The 16,195-nt window shown below is 44.8% G+C and overlaps 1 protein-coding gene across 4 annotated transcripts in view; it reads left to right on the top strand.

Moving 5' to 3' along the window:
- The window catches only part of SHE (Src homology 2 domain containing E), a 32,776-nt gene extending 16,627 nt beyond the window's left edge, over positions 1-16,149 (top strand). For 2 of the 4 annotated variants that reach the window (NR_135169.2, NM_001010846.3), the window contains exon 6: positions 1,451-6,305. Coding sequence is in view for 3 of the 4 variants with exons in the window: in NM_001010846.3 (NP_001010846.1) it covers positions 1,451-1,637 (187 nt within the window). In the remaining variant the exon portion in view is untranslated. Of the gene's footprint in view, positions 1-1,450; positions 6,306-15,423 lie in introns of those variants that run through there. The other 2 variants (XM_011509163.4, XM_005244891.6) reach the window with 2 other exon arrangements.

Below are 16,195 nucleotides of genomic sequence, written 5' to 3'. Positions count from 1 at the left end.
ATGAGAATGCAAAATTGGTATTGGGTAAATGCCTCCATTATCTATTATGATAATGAAGGTCTTATTGCATTATCTTTGTGCATTAGTCAATGTCTACCTTACATTACCTAATCTGGAGTAGGCCCTCTCAGTAGAGAAATAATTCCTGATGAAAAGAATTATTTCTAACAGGGTAGTACAGTCATTCTTCTTTTATTCCCTAGTATTGGGGACTTTAATAAATCAAGATCCCCCTGATTGTCAAAATGCCAACTGCAATTTTGACACCAGTTTCTTCTGGTGAAGAAGGAAATGCTGACTTGCCTGTTGCTCCCTCTGTCTGATTGTACACAGAAAATTCACTTTTGCCTGGTAGGCCTGGTGGAGTGTGTATCATGGAAATTCTCACTGCTCCGTGAGTTCAGTGTCCCTGTATTGGAGGATCATTGTCAAGAGCCCTAACAGCATTTCCTTCCTGAGGAAGCTGAGCCCCTGCAGCTGAAACAATCAGGCTGGAGGAGAACAGAGTCGGGCGGGGGAGTTGAGCAATATGGCTCAGAAAATGGGATAGGCCACCAGATATACAATACCAGGAATAGCTCGACTGTGTTCCTGAAATTGGTGCTTGTGGATTAAATCTTTGAGCTTTTGGTGCCAGCTTTCATTTTATACAACCAGGAATGGTCTTTCCAGATGCGAGGGGAGGAAATGGTTTTTATTATTATTATTTATGTGTTCTTTTTGGAAAAAAAGAAGAAGAACCCTTACTTACGTCCTTTTAGCTGTGGTGAGGAGGATGAGTTTTTTTGGGGTTTCTTTTCTTTTTCTTTTTTTTTTTTTTTGAGATGGAGTCTCACTCTGTTGCCTAGGCTAGAGTTCAGTGGCATAATCTCGGCTCACTACAACCTTCGCCTCCTGGGTTCAAGTGATTCTCCTGCCTCAGCCTCCCAAGTAGCTGGGATTACAGGTGCCTGCCACCATGCCCGGCTAATTTTTTTGTATTTTTTAGTAGAGATGGGGTTTTACCATGTTGGCCAGGCTGGTCTTGAACTCCTGACCTCAAGTGATCCGCCCACTTCGGCCTCCCACAGTGCTGGGATACAGGCGTGAGCCACCGTGCCCAGCCGAGGATGAGTTTCTACCTCACCTTAGTAGCCTCGTGCTTGGGCGTAAGCACTGGTTTTGCAATTTGAGAGCTAGAAGGGACTTGGCATTCTTTTTAATTGTTTTCTTTGTTCCACTACCTGATGACTCATATGTGATAAGGATAAACCACTCAAGGATTACATGCGTTTAGACTGTGAAATTTCTGAGAGTACCACTAGAGTGTGGAATGCATTTCTGTGTGTGTAGAACCATTACGGGATGGATGAGAACCTATCAACCTAGTGTGAATCTGGCTGCAATTGTTTTCAGTGGGGAGGGATCCTCTGCCCACTCATTCATGTCTCCTCCTTGATTTTCATTCCAGGACTAGTCAAGGATGTGTCCACATCATAGTGGCTCAGACCAAAGACAACAAATACACACTGAATCAGACAAGCGCTGTGTTTGACAGCATCCCTGAAGTGGTACACTATTATTCCAATGAAAAGTTGCCTTTCAAAGGGGCAGAACACATGACTTTACTCTACCCAGTGCACAGCAAGCTTCACTAAGATTCAGCCACTGCAAGCCCTGGGCCTCTGGCACCTTCAAGGGCATCATCAGCGCACAACCAGCATCTCAGAGGACAAGGCTGGACTAGCAACTGCTAGAAAATGGGAGTCTTCCTTGAAAAGTCAGAGAGTGATTTGTTTTGTTTTGTTTGAGACGAAGTCTCGCTGTGTTGCCCAGGCTGGAGTGCAATGGCGCAATCTTGGCTCACTGCAACATCTGACTCCTGGGTTCAAGCAGTTCTTCCCCATCAGCCTCCCAAGTAGGTGGGACTATAGGTTCGCACCACCACTCCCAGCTAATTTTTTTTTTTGTATTTTTAGTAGAGATGGGGTTTCGCCGTCTTCGTCAGGCTGGTCTCAAACTCCTGACCTCAAATGATCCACCCACCTCAGTCTCCCCGAGTGCCTGGATTACAGGCATGAGCCACTGCACCCGGCCAAGTCTTTGGTCTTAAAGTGATTCCATGACACTTTGTTTGTGGCCTGTCCCTTGTTTCCTTGCTAAGTAGTTCTACAATAAGAAATCATGATTTAGCTGTTGCCTCCAGCTCTGGGGTAGGGTGTTCTTTTTATGGTGTGACCCTCAGGAAGGTTAAGTCAGGAGTTCAGGAGCATCAGAGTTCTCTAGAAATGTGCCTACTTGTTACCTGGAATACCTGGTCTCTAAACAAACCAACAAAAAATCCACGTGGCTTTTCCACATGATGGTGCAGACTGGAAGAGGATGTTATATTGGACTCGTTATTGGGGAAATGAATGAGCGGGAGAAAATGTGAATGACGGGCAAGAAGGTGGTCTTTCTCCCTCAGAAGTCCTAATTCAGCTCTGGAGTTCATGGAAATCCGCAACTTCAGAGTGTGGCCTAAGGATTATTTTGTTGGTCAGCCTTTCCAAGAAAGTGTGTGTTCTCTCAATCTCTGTGGATTTTCTCATTTTTTAGCAAATCAGTGAGATAAGCATAAATAGGAAGGAAGATACCCCAGGTTTAAGAATCACCAATATCATTAGGCATTGGCATCATTATTAGAATTCTGAATTATAGAATAAAAGGTACAACAAAAATTTCATTTCTGAATTTTAAAATTCTGGAAATTTGCAAAGCTCCACAACTGTTTTTTTACTGAATTAATTACATAGAACTTCGATGTCTTTTGTTTCATCATCATTGGGCATTTTAGTTGCTATGGAATAATTTTTAATTTTTGTCTCTAAAATTAGATTTGCTTTGTAGTAAATTTTTTAAAAATGCAACCCTAAGATCTGATTATATGAACTGGGTCTCTAAAGCCTACAAAGATTCTCTCGTTCTGTACCAAGCAGACTGCCTTGTACTATACAGAAGTGTTTGAAAAGACCTAGAGGTTTTCTCTTAAATACCATTACTTAAGATTCATAGTATTAGGATCTTTATGATTTATCATGAGCTTATATCACCAGTTTATTTACTGTGAAAAAAACCATGGGAATGGCATACTGTGAGAAGAGTACTATGGTGAATGGCTCCAGAATTAAAATTCAGCAGATGTGTCTGTATTCTGGGGTTGGTCATTTGGGTCTCAAAACTGCCCCATATGCAAATGTACTGACTGTCATCAATGAAAAGTTAACCTTTGTAGCTTATAAATACACACAAAATGTTGATTTGGTTAATTTTTTAGGAAAGTATACCTTTGTAGTTACTAGTTACATTTGACTGTAAGATTTAGAGGTTAGTAAATTTTTGCTTCTTTATTCAGATAAGATCTCAGCCAAAAGGTTGTGTGATCTTTGATTTTAAAAATTTAAGAGGAACTTTTCCTCACTGGAACACAATGATTTTATTAATAAAGAATGTAGGCTGGGTGCGGTGGCTCATGCACGTAATCCCAACAATTTGGGAGGCTGAGGCAGGCAGATCACGTGAGGTCAGGAGTTTGAGACCAGCCTGGCCAACATGGTGAAACCCTGTCTGTAGTAAAAATACAAAAATTAGCTGGGCACGGTGGCGGGCACCTGTAGTTCCAGCTGCTTGGGAGGCTGAGGCACGAGAATCACTTGAGCCCAGGAGGTGGAGGTTGCAGTGAGCCAAGATTATGTCACTGCACTCCATCCTGGGTGACAAGAGCGAAACTCCATCTCAAAAAAAAAAAAAAAAAAAAGCCTGGCCTGGTGGTGGATGCCTGTGGTTCCAGCTATTCGGGAGGCTGAGGTAGGTGGATCACCTCTGCTCAGGTCAAGGCTGCAGCGAGCCATGATCGCACCATTGCACTCCAGCCTGAGTGACAGAGTGAGACCCTGTCTCAACAAGCAAGCAAACAAAAAACCAAAAGGAATGTTTTTTTCAGATACTGATAGAATGTTTTCAGTGTGTATTGGTTCATTTACTATATCTTTAGTGTAAGATTTTAAAAGGTTTTTTCAGCATCCATTCAACAAATATTTATTATCTTTATACAAATTATTCATTGTGTTAAACTTATTTTTAGTTTAACATTCTAGAAATGAAACGTTTTTACTTAACCTTATTCTACAAAGGGAATACAGCAGTTATTCTAATTTTAATAAATGCTAAAAGCTTTATACAATTTTTCTTTGTGCACTAAATGATTTTTGGCCCATACCCAGCAACTGTGATGAATGTATAATGAAATAACATCTTGAAAACAGGCCAGATACATTAAGTATTTATTGAGCTTCTGTCATATGCCCAGTATTATGCTTCTTCTATACTGTTTCTCTGTGACAAGTCATACTATATTCTTTATAGAATTAAAAGTAGAGGAGAGGCAGAGTTTACATATTGTCCAGTTGCTTTACAGTTGTACAGGAGGTTATAAGAAGAAATATAGTAAATTAGTGGGAAGTCAGAGGTGGGGGCGTTAGTGAGCTATTTTCTTCTTGAGGTTGTGACACAAGCTGACAAAAGCCAGGGAGTTCACAGCTGTGTGGTGGCACAAAGTTCCATATGTTCTAAAAACAATTAGGCCCAGCAGGGTGTCCCTAATGGCTTCCTTGTTAAACCTCCATGGCCAGCTGATCTGAAGCTCTGTGACATGTTCTCTGAGCTCTGAATGCTCTGGCTTTTTGTCATTTTGTCTTGAGACAAGTATTTTCCTGTAGTCCTCATTCCTTCGAGTTATTCCATCTCCCAGGATATTCTCTGGTGAGAAGAATGTCTTTCAGTGAATTTGCCTTGAATTTAGCATCCATAGAGCTGTGTCAGTGTTCTTCTTGATCACACCTTCTTTAAAAAAAATACTTGCTTGCGATGACTGGACAAGTTCAGTTGGTTAGTTTCAGGCCTATAAGAAGAGAGAGTAAAGGACCTTGCTATTTACTTTGATACCATAGTTGTATCTCAGGATGGCCTGCAAACCACTGGCCTTGTGTGTATTTAAGCTAGGAATAAAATAATGGAGAAGTGTTAATATGTATACAAAAAGGTAAATATTGATATATCTACTCTCTGTTGGGGGCAGAAGTGTCATTTTAAGTTATTCAAAGCACTTTCTTAAGCATTTTAGAAAGCCTTTATTCTTTGCTGTTGGAAGTCTCCGTACTTTGCAGAATTGGTATTTGTGTACTAGCCTCTGCCGCAGGATGGGGAGGTGGGCAGGTAGCTGATAGGGGCAGCCAGGAGTTTTTGAGGCAGGTGGTGGGAAATTGTCCTAATTTGTTAATTGGATTATGTAACTCTGTTACTAGTCTGTTATTGGCTGTTGTTACTGGATGCATCTTGATATTCAGAAGAATAACTGTGAGGCATTCTTCAGTTGCGGGTTAAGTGGGGTTAGTTTCTGTTCTGTCAGATGCCCTTTTTCAGTCAAAGGTTAGCCCCTTGTTTCTCCCTCCTTCCAGGGTTTAGGGAGTGCAGTGATGTCGATTTCATTTCCCTTCCCCGCACCCCTTGACACTCAGCAGGATTGCACTGAAACCCTTCACAGATCTCTCGTTCACTAGTTGTCTCCTATTTTTCCATAACTAGCACTAGTTTGGCCTTATGACCTGGTTAGAATCACTCTTCTGTATTCTCATTTCCAATTTTTGTGCCCCACTAACGTGGACTAGAGAAACTTGGCCTGCTGTGCAGTGGGCCTTCTGTTCAACTTACCCTCCACCGCTGACCCTGTGTGAAGAGAGATGGTGCGTTACTGCCATCTAATGGGAAAAGAGAAAACTGCAGTTGGGAAAAGCAGCTGTGCATTTAAGGGTAGGGCTTTCTGAAGGATTTCTGATACAGTCCAGAAAAGGGAAAATGATGACACAGCAGTTGCCATCTTGAAAAATGCCCTTTCCTGCGGAAAGGGTGTTTTGAAGTCTAATACAACTATCATCACAAGGTCCCTGGACTAAGGCTGGATCGTGTAATTTAGAATCTCAAATTGTATTTTAATTAATATGCTGGCAACAGAATCATTGAAACAGGCGTCTCATTTTGTCAAGTTCTTAGCCGTTCAGTTTGTCAGGGGCTTTAATATTTTAGATATCAACTAATACATAGTTTCAACTTTTAAAAATGTTTGAAGATTGTATGTAATATAGGTGTCTATCTATAGTGCCTTAGTAATTTAAATCAGAAATATTTTATAAAACTTCTGGTTGTTTTGCAGTAGCCAATATAGGCTTCATGCCCTCCTGAAGATAGTTTCCTCTGAAATGTAACTTTAAATAAACATTATTCCAAGAAAACTACAGTGGTTTTGCTTAATTCAGTTAGCTCTGAGAATCATCTTCCTTCAGAAAAATACTTCCCATGGTAAGAGCTACAGCAGAGTTTCATTTGCAGTCACCATTAATGAAATATAGAAACACCATGATGGAACATAACCAGCAGATTCTATCTTTTATTTACTCTGTTCACATTTAGAGTCCTTCTATTATGTTTTTCTTCCCAAGTAAAATAGTAATACAGTGATGTTTTACTGCCATTTCCTGGCCCATCTCTTCCTGAGTCGAAAGTTAGTGCACTGGTTCTCATCCCTCACTAGATAGAAGATTTGGGCTCTGCTTCTGTTTTTATCAGTTTGTTATTAATACAAATGTCCCATGCCATCTGTGGGATGCCCTAAGTCTGTTGCAAAGTTCAAAAACCTATTTTAAAAAAAAATTGTACCAGGTGATTTGGATACACAGCCAATGGTGGAGAAGCCCTGTTGGAAGCTCCTATTTGGAAATGCACAAATAAATTCACGTCAGGTCCTAGAAGGGCATACTGTTGAGTCTGCTATCAAAAAGTTTTCCCCTCCAAAATTCCTAACATGGTTTCAAGTTTTTAACTTCCATTAAACATTTATGTAAGTTGCCACCAGGTGGAACAAGTGCCTATTGTTTTAACCCATCTGTGTTTAAGAGAAGAGGAAGTTTGCATTAAGAAATGCTCCCGCCACCCACCACCCGAGCAATTAGAGTAATGGTTTTCAGAATTCAGATTGAACACGTGTTTACAAGCACCCAGGGTTTGAGTGTTGAATGTTGGATTCTGACCCTGTGAAAGGCCAAGATGTAAGTAGTGAGAATAGACTCTTTTTCCGCACCAGGTGTGCTGCTGAACAAATGCTTTTCATCATACAGCATCTCATTTAATCTGCCACAACTCAGCCAGGTGGGAACCTTGTTTTTCAGATAAAAACACGGGTGCTTAGAATGATGAAATAACTTGTCTTGGGTCAGTCATAGTAAGTGGTAGAGCCCAGATTGCGGCCCAGGTCTCACTCTAGAGTGTTTTTTTTTTTTTTTTTTTTGCACTTTTTATGATTTCATTTAAAAACAAAACATAGACTGAGTTGTCTGTTCATTTTCTTCGCTGCACAGCCTGGCCTTGGGAGTGGTGACTGATGGCCCACGGGGCTGCTCGCTCCACAGTGGCCTTGTGGTTCTGGAGGAAACATTGTGAGCAATCTCAGCTCAGTATAATTTGTTGCACATCAGCAGCGCTTCATTCCGGCTCCTTGACCTTGTAGACCAGGAACTTCTGGAAGCCACTGGGCAGGGTGTGCTTCATTATCTTGCTACTCCCATAACTGACGCTGGCAATACAGCAGAGTATCATTCAGCCTCAACAAGGAAGGGAATCCTGACACAGACCATTACGCTGAGTGAAACCCGTCAGTCACAAAAAGACAAATACTGTATGATTCCACTTACATGAGGTACCCAGAGTAGTCAAATTCATAGAAAGTAGAATGGTAGTTGCCAGGGGCTGGGGAAGGAGGAAATGGGGAGTTGTTTAATGAGTGCAGAGTTTTCTTTTCTTTTCTTTCTTTTTTTTTTTTTTTTTTTGAGACAGTGTCTTGCTCTGTCGCCCAGGCTGGAGTGCAGTGGTGCAATCTCAACTCACTGCAACCTCCACCTCCCAGGTTCCAGCAATTCTCCTGCCTCAGCCTCCCAAGTAGCTGGGACTACAGGCATGCGCCACAACACCCAGCTAATTTTTGTATTGTTAGTAGAAACGGGGTTTCACCATGTTGGCCAGGCTGGTCTCAAACTCCTGACCTCATGTGATCCACCAGCCTTGGCCTCCCAAAGTGCTGAGATTATAGGCATGACCCACCATTCCCAGCCCAGAGTTTCTGCATGAGATAATGAAAAGTCCTGGAGATTGGGTGCACAACAATATGAATGTAGTTAACACTGCTGAACTGCACACTTAGAAATGGTTAACATAGGCCAAGTGTAGTGGCTTATGCCTGTAATCCCAGGGCTTTGGGAGGCCAAAGTAGGCGGATCACTTGAGCGAAGGAGTTCGAGACCAGCCCGGGCAACGTGGTGAAACCCCATCTCTTATAAAAAAAATTAAAATAGGTGGTTAAGATGGTAAATTTTATGTTAATGCATTTCTTACCACACACACAAAAATGCCAGTCTATTATCTTACAATGGAAATGCATCTAGCAGACTGGACATTCAGGTCACCTGTGTGATCAATGTGCTCTCTACCCATAGAGGGGCACATGGACTCAGAGCAAGGGAAAAAGGAATTGGGTTTTCGGTATCCATCTCCACCTCCAGGACAATCCTCTGCTGGGTCTGGCAAGTTGTGTCCATGGGCCTAGGCAGCCTTTCCCCTGCTTGGGAGAGGCTCTGCCTGTAGAACTGGGTAGTGTGAAGTCCTGAAGGTCATTTAAGCTCTGATAAACATACCTTGAGGAGATTCAGTGTGAGGCATGAGGTTATCATTTCCAGAATCCACAGGTAGCACCAGAATTACTTCCCCTTTGTGAATCATGTAGTATGAATCACTGTAATGTCTTGATTCAAATTTAAAATACTTTCTACATGACATTTTTAAATGATTGCCTTCTAATTTATGTGCATAAATAAACAGGTTTACTAATTTGGATTGAGGGAAAGATAAATTATTACTTGATGAGCACATAAAAGCCAATTTGTTGATCAAGCTATCAACCAGCATGTTGTTGGCAAGAAACATATTTTACTTAAAAGATAAAAAAGGTGTGGATTATTTCAGATTGCTTTATTCTACTTTTTTTTTTTTCTGAGACGGTATGGATTATTTTGGATTGCTTTACTTTTTTTTTGAGACAGAGTCTCACTCTGTCGCCTAGGCTGGAGTGCAGTGATGCAATCGTGGCTCACTGCAACCTCTGCTTCCCGGGTCCAAGCCTCAGCCTCCTGAGTAGCTGGGATTATAGGTGCCCACCACCACACCTGGCTAATTTTTGTATTTTTAGTAGAGACGGGGTTTCACTATGTTGGCCAGGCTGATCTCAAACGCCTGACCTTGTGATCTGCCTGCCTCGACCTCCCAAAGTGCTGGGATTACAGGCATGAACCACCGTGCTCGGCCTGATTTTACTTTATTTTTGAGACAGGGTCTTCTCTGTTTCCCAGGCAGGAGTGCGATGGTGTTATCATGGCTCACCACAACCTTGACCTTCTGGGCTCAAGCAATTCTCCCACCTCAACTTCCCAAGTGGCTGGGACCACAGGTGTGCGCCACCATACCTGGCTAATGTTTTGAATTTTTGTAGCGACAAGGTCTCACTATATTGCTTAGGCTGATCTCGAACTCCTGGGCTGAAGCAATCATCCTGACTCAGCCTCCCAAAGTACAAGGATTGTAGGTGTGAGCCACTGCACCGTCCTGGACTGCTTCAGATGGTGTACTTGCAAGAGAAACATTCTTTCTAAAACCCTTGCACGTTTTAAAATGGAGAATCTCAAGCTTTTTTAGAAACTAATACAATGGGCTGGGCACAGTGGCTCATGCCTGTAATCCCAGCACTTTGGGAGGCCAACGCAGGCAGATCACTTGAGGTCAGGAGCGATCCACCTCCAACCGGGAGGTGGAGGTTGCAGTTAGCTGAGATTGTGCCACTACACTCCAGCCTGGGCAACAGAGTGAGACACTGTCTCAAAAAAAGAAATGAATACAATGAACCACCCTGTCCCATCACCCAGCATCAACAATTACTGTCTTACAGCCAATTTTGTTTTGTCTGTGATCCCCACCTACTTCTTGTACATTTTAATAAACAATTTTTCATAGGCAGTATAATATGATTGGACTATTCCAAAATAGAAGGGTTATAATTGTTTAATAAAGCTATCTTTAATTCTAAAAGCAATGCTCATTTAAAAAAATTAAATATGTACACAAGAAAAAAGAGCAAATCCGGTCTTCAGTGACTTCCTAAATGCACTTAGAACATTGCAGAGGTTTGGCTGGGCATGGTGGCTCACACCTGTAATCCCAGCACTTCGGGAGGCCGAGGCAGGTGGATCACCTGAGGTCGGGAGTTCAGGACCAGCCTGGCCGACATGGGGAAACCCTGTCTCTACTAAAAAATACAAAATTAGCCAGGCATGGTGGCGCATGCCTGTAATCCCAGCTACTCAGGAGGCTGAGGCAGGAGAATCGCTTGAACCTGGGAGGCGGAGGTTGCGGTGAGCCAAGATCACGCCGTTGCACTCCAGCCTGGGCAAAAAGAGTGAAATTCTGTCAAAAAAAGAAAAAAGAACATTGCAGAGGTGCTCAACATAGTAGACATCCAAGGCGGCCTCCCTCCCACCTGGCCCCTGCCCTCAGCCCTCCCCTGTACCCCCGGCAGGCCTCCCACTCCCCAGACCCTCCTACTCTGCTCCCTCACTCCCTAGACCAGATTAGTCATTTGCTCCCAGACACAGCATTTGCTTGTTAATTGTGTGGCTGACCAGGCATACTGCCAACTCCTGGAGGAGGACATTGGTTCCTCTTGTACCCCACACCCAGCACAGTGGCCTAGTAAACATTCCTTGAATGAATTCTTGCACCCAGAGAGCAGCTCCACTCACAGAGTGGTGACCGTTCATCCTTTCAGAGGGAGTGGATGTAATAAGGCTTCCATACCATCAGTAAAACACAATTTGGCTGGGCGTGGTGGCTCACGCCTGTAATAGCACTTTGGGAGGCCGAGGTGGGCAGATCACTTGAGGTCAGGAGTTCAAGACCAGCCTGGCCAACATAGCAAAACCCCATCTCTACTAAAAATACAAAAATTATCCAGGCATGGTGGTGTGTGCCTGTGATCCCAGCTACTCAGGAGGCTGAGGCAGGAGAATCGCTTGAACCTGGGAGGCAGTTGTGGTGAGCCAAGATGGCACCACTGCACTCCAGCCTGGGCAACAGAGCAAGACTCTGTCTAAAAAATAATAAATAAATAAATAAAGCACAATTTGAGAATTTTCAGGAAGTTCATCAAAGTTTATACCAAGGAACCAACAGGAAAAAACCAAACCATTCATGCAGTGCAGAGGTGTGGCTAGGTATAGATGGAGGGGAAGTGGCTTGATTTGGTCCCTGATCAGAGAGAGTTAACTATGTCAGGAACTAGTTTTGCCCCTCTCCTTTGAGACCCATCTCTGGCTGCCACTGCCTTAGGATCACCTATGGGAGCCCCCAAGCCATGCCTTTGTATGTGCGCTCAGACTCCCATGGGTCAGCCTCCAGCCCCAGCTCACACTGATAAACGTGACAAACCACATGAGGATACCAGGTCCATCTCCTCCCGGGGTGAGTGGGTCAGGCCCCACCCCACACAGGGTGAGGGCACCTGGCCTGAGAAAGGGCTTGGTAAGAGAAGCCCATGAGGTAGTCACCAGTGGCTGGGGGCCGGAGCCCCATGGCAAAAGCAAAGAGCACCAGCCTTCCAGTCCAGCAGGCCCAGGTTTGGAGTCTAGTTCAGCCTCTTAACTAGCGTGGGCATCTTGGACCACCATCTTCAATATAAGCCTCAGTTGCCTCATCTGTAAACAGGTGAGAATACTTACATGGCAGCCACATTAAGGAAGAATATCCTGTTTATAAAGCACATGGTGGAGAGGCAGTAAATGGTAGCCGTTATTTACTTTTTTTTTTTTTATTTTTTGAGGCAGGGTCTCACTCGTCACCCAGGTTGGAAGGCAGTGGTGTGATCACAGCCCACTGCAGCCTCACACTCCCAGGCTCAGGTGATCCTCCCACCTCAGCCTCCCGAGGAGCTACGACTACAGGCATGTGCCAGCATGCCCAGCTAGTTTTTTGTATTTTTAGTAGAGACAGGGTTTTGCCATGTTGGCCAGACTGGTCTCGAACTCCTGGGCTCAAGCAATCCATCCACTTCAGCCTCCCAAAGTGCCGGGATTACAAGCATGAGCCACAGCGCCCAGCTGCCATTCTTTTTTTTCTTTCTTCCCCTTCGACCCCTGTCCCCCCAACACACAGCGTCTCAACCTGTTGCCCGGGCTGGAGTACAGTGGTACTATCACGGCTCACTGCAGCCTCCAACTCCTGGGCTAAAGGGATTCTCCTGCTTCAGCCTCCCAGGTAGCTGGGACTACAGGCATGCACCACCATGCTCGGTTAATTGGTTTTTTAAAAATTATTTTGTAGAGCTGGGCTCAGTGGCTCACACCTGTAATCCCAGCACTTTGGGAGGCTGAGACAGGCGGATCACCTAAGGTTGGGAGTTTGAGACCAGCCTGACCAACACGGAGAAACCCCGTCTCTACTAAAAATACAAAAAATTAGCCGAGCATGGTGGCACATGCCTGTAATCCCAGCTACTCGGGAGGCTGAGGCAGGAGAATCGCTTGAACCCGGGAGGCAGAGGTTGTGGTGAGCCGAGATTGTGCCATTGCACTCCAGCCTTGGCAACAACAGCAAAACTCCATCTCAAAAAAAAAAATTATTTTGTAGAGATGGGTCTCACTATGTTGTCCAGGCTCGTCTTGAACTCCTGGCCTCAAGCCATCCCCCTGCCTTGGCCTCCCAAAATGCTGGAATTACAGGTGTGAGCCACTGCGCCCAGCCAGTAGCCATTATTATTAGGTAATTTTAGTAGATATCTCTACCACAAAGGGCCTGTGAACTTCTAGGTAACCAGTAAGGCCAGTTGGTGTACTGCTTTGCTGCCATAGATTTTTGTTTTCTAGTTAACACCCACTGAAACATGTTGCTGTGAATCTTACCTCTAGCCCTGCGGTCCCCAGCACAGAGATCTTCAAAGCTGGCTGTACAGCAGCATCACCTGTGTAACTTACACTCATGCTACTGTGATTGCCCGGGTCAAAGGTTGGCACCTGGCCTCCTTCTGATGCACAGGCCCACCCACAGAAGGGATCCACTGAAGCCCACCAGGTCCGGAAGTATGAGGAACCCCCAGCATCCACCTCATTGTGGAACTCACGGTCCAGCCACTCTCAGGATGGATCACCACCTTCATCAGAACCATCTGGGCAGCTTATATAGCTTTCTAGGGGCCCAGCTCAGACCTATTGAACTGGAATCCCTGAGGGTGAAGCCAGGAATGGGGTTCTAACAAGCTGGCCGCATTACATGCTGAGGTGCATTTATGTTCTGCAGGAAAACACGCTGCCTGCGTGAGTGGTGCGTGCAGGTGCTGGCTTCCTCTGCTTTTTACTTCTCTCTTCATCTATCTCTGGTAACAGACTCTACCATGCCGTACCTCTCTCCATCATTTAAAAACTCTTATAGAGCAGCACACTAATTTAAAAACCAAAATAGAATAAAGTTGCTCTTCTGATAATTTTTTTTTTTTTGAGACAGAGTGCTCATTGCAACCTCTACCTCCCAGGTTCAAGCGATTCTCATGCCTCAGCCTCCTGAGTAGCTGGGACTACAGGCGCCCACCACCATGCCCAGCTAATTTTTGTATTTTGAGTAGAGATGGGGTTTCACCATGTTGGCCAGGCTGGTCTTGAACTCCTGACCTCAAGTGATCCACCCGCCTTGGCCTCCCAAAGTGCTGGGATTACAGGCGTGAGCCACTGTACCTGGCTTCTTGATACATTTCATTCTTTAAAAAATCATACTGACATATCAAAATGCAGCTTCCCATGATGCAGTGAGCTATTTTTTTTCAGGACATTGGGCAGCTTTATTAAGCAATTTGAAGTTAGAAGAAAGAACACCCTTAATTTAATAATGCATACACCTATAGTGTGAATGCTTACACACACACACAGAGAGAGAGAGAGAGAGAGAGAGAGTACTGAAAAACTTAACTTTATTCAAGTTGTGGATTGTCATCAAAAACTGGGTATGAAGTAGGACATGGCTGAACTAGTGGTGTTTTGTTTGCTTGTTTCTTTCTTTTTTGAGACAAGGTCTTGCTGTCACCCAGGGTGGAGCGCAGTAGCACAATTATGGCTCACTATAACCTTGAACTCTGGGCTCAAGCAATCCTCCCGCCTCACCCTCTTGAGTAGCTGGGACTACAGGCAGGTGCCACCACACCTGGTTAATTTTTTTTCTTTTTTGTAGATATAGGGAAATGTACTTCTTCCTCTTTTCTCATTTTTATTTTTTCTTATTTAGAGATAGGGTCATGCTATGTGCACCAGGCTGGTCTTGAACTTATGGCCTCGAGCAATCCTCCCACCTCAGCATCTCAAAGTGCTGGGATTACAGGAATGAGCCACTGCGCCTGGCCTGTTTTGTTTTTTAAGTGACATACACCTGCAGAAGATGGGAACTTCCATAAAGACATTAGAGATTGGGTAGTGTTTGAAAGATGGTGCAACAGGCCCCTCACCCTGTGGCCCGCGGGCTCACCACTCCGCCTAAGGAGTTGCTCTGAGCTCTCGCCCCAGCCCTTACAGCAGTGCTGCATTTGAACCTTTCTTTTATTTTTTTTTTGTGTTTTTTTTTTTTTGAGATGGAGTCTCACTCACTCTTTGTCACCCAGGCTGGAGTGCAGTGGTGTGATCTCAGCTCACTGAAACCTCCGCCTCCCGGGTTCAAGCAGTCCTCCTGCCTCAGCCTCCCTAGTAGCTGGAATCACAGGTGACCGCCACCATGCCAGGCAAATTTTTTTTATTTTTTATTTTTGAGACAGAGTCTGGCTCTGTTGCCCAGGCTGGAGTGCAATGGCACGATCTCATCTCACTGCAACCTCTGTCTCCCAGGTTCAAGCGATTCTCCTGCCTCAGCCTCCAGAATAGCTGGGATTACAGGTGCCCGCCACCACATGCAGCTAATTTTTGTATTTTTAGTAGAGACGGGGTTTTGCCATGTTGGCCAGGCTGGTCTCGAACTCCTGACCTCAAGTGATCCACCCACCTCAGCCTCCCAAAGTGCTAGGATTATAGGAGTGAGCCACCGCACCTGGCCTTAAAAGGCCTTTCACCTCGCCAGCACACCTCTGCTACTGGAGGATGGAGGATGGCAAACACTGTTTCCTGCCCCTGCCCTGTAATTCTCACAGATATTCAGAAAGGTTTGGTTGCCCTGTGCCTCAGTAAATAAGGAAAATGCTTTCTTAGAAGGCTGCTCCAGTAACTGCATATTCCTTGCCATCCTCTACAGAAATCACCATCTGCTCTCCTAAGTTCTTCTGGAAAGAGCACCGTAACCATGTCATCCTAACAGCAATGCCATGAAGAAAGGGAGGCAGCTCCCTCCACGTCCTGGCTCCAGTGCCCACTCCCGTGCCCCCTCCATGGCCCACGCAGCCTGGCCACCTGGGTGACATCTGGTCCCTGTGTCACTTTCTGCAAGACAAGGACCAGCCTCAAAGAGGAGAGCATGGTGTCCTGAAGGAGATGGCGGCCACCATCACCTGTCCTGTGGCTTTCCTCTGACTGCCCAGGTGGGGGCCCAGAGGCGGCGCCTCTCAGTCCAGCTTTGAGTGGAGTTACATAATTTCCAGGCTTCCCTGCAGTTCTCGCCTCCCCATCCCTGAACTGTTTACACAGTAGCTCTCACCCACAAAGAGTCCGCATGATGGCTTTTCCTCTGTTTGGAAGATGTGGATGGCTGTGTCCCAAGTTTTTCCTACCTAAGATCCTTTTCAGTAGGGGATGGATTTGGTCTATCTGATGATCAAGAGTTCAGGGTGGCCTTTGTGATAGTGTTACACCCCCTCCCAGGTCCAATAAACAGTCTTCTGACAAATAATGGCCCTTCCTTTTCCTTCCCCACCTGTCCACCACCTGGTAATGTGATGTAAGCGTGGCAAAATCCCACACACCCCTTCCAGAAATCCCAGGACTCGTGTGGGAAATACTGTCATAATTAAAGCCTTCTGAGAAATTGCTGCTTCTTCCTTGAACTTACCTACTTTTGAGCGGTCCTTTAA

Source organism: Homo sapiens, chromosome 1 (assembly GCF_000001405.40).
Source record: "Homo sapiens chromosome 1, GRCh38.p14 Primary Assembly".
Lineage (NCBI taxonomy): Eukaryota > Metazoa > Chordata > Mammalia > Primates > Hominidae > Homo > Homo sapiens.
The sequence above is the reverse complement of the archived record's forward strand: the minus strand, read 5'-3'. Positions and strand labels throughout refer to the sequence as shown.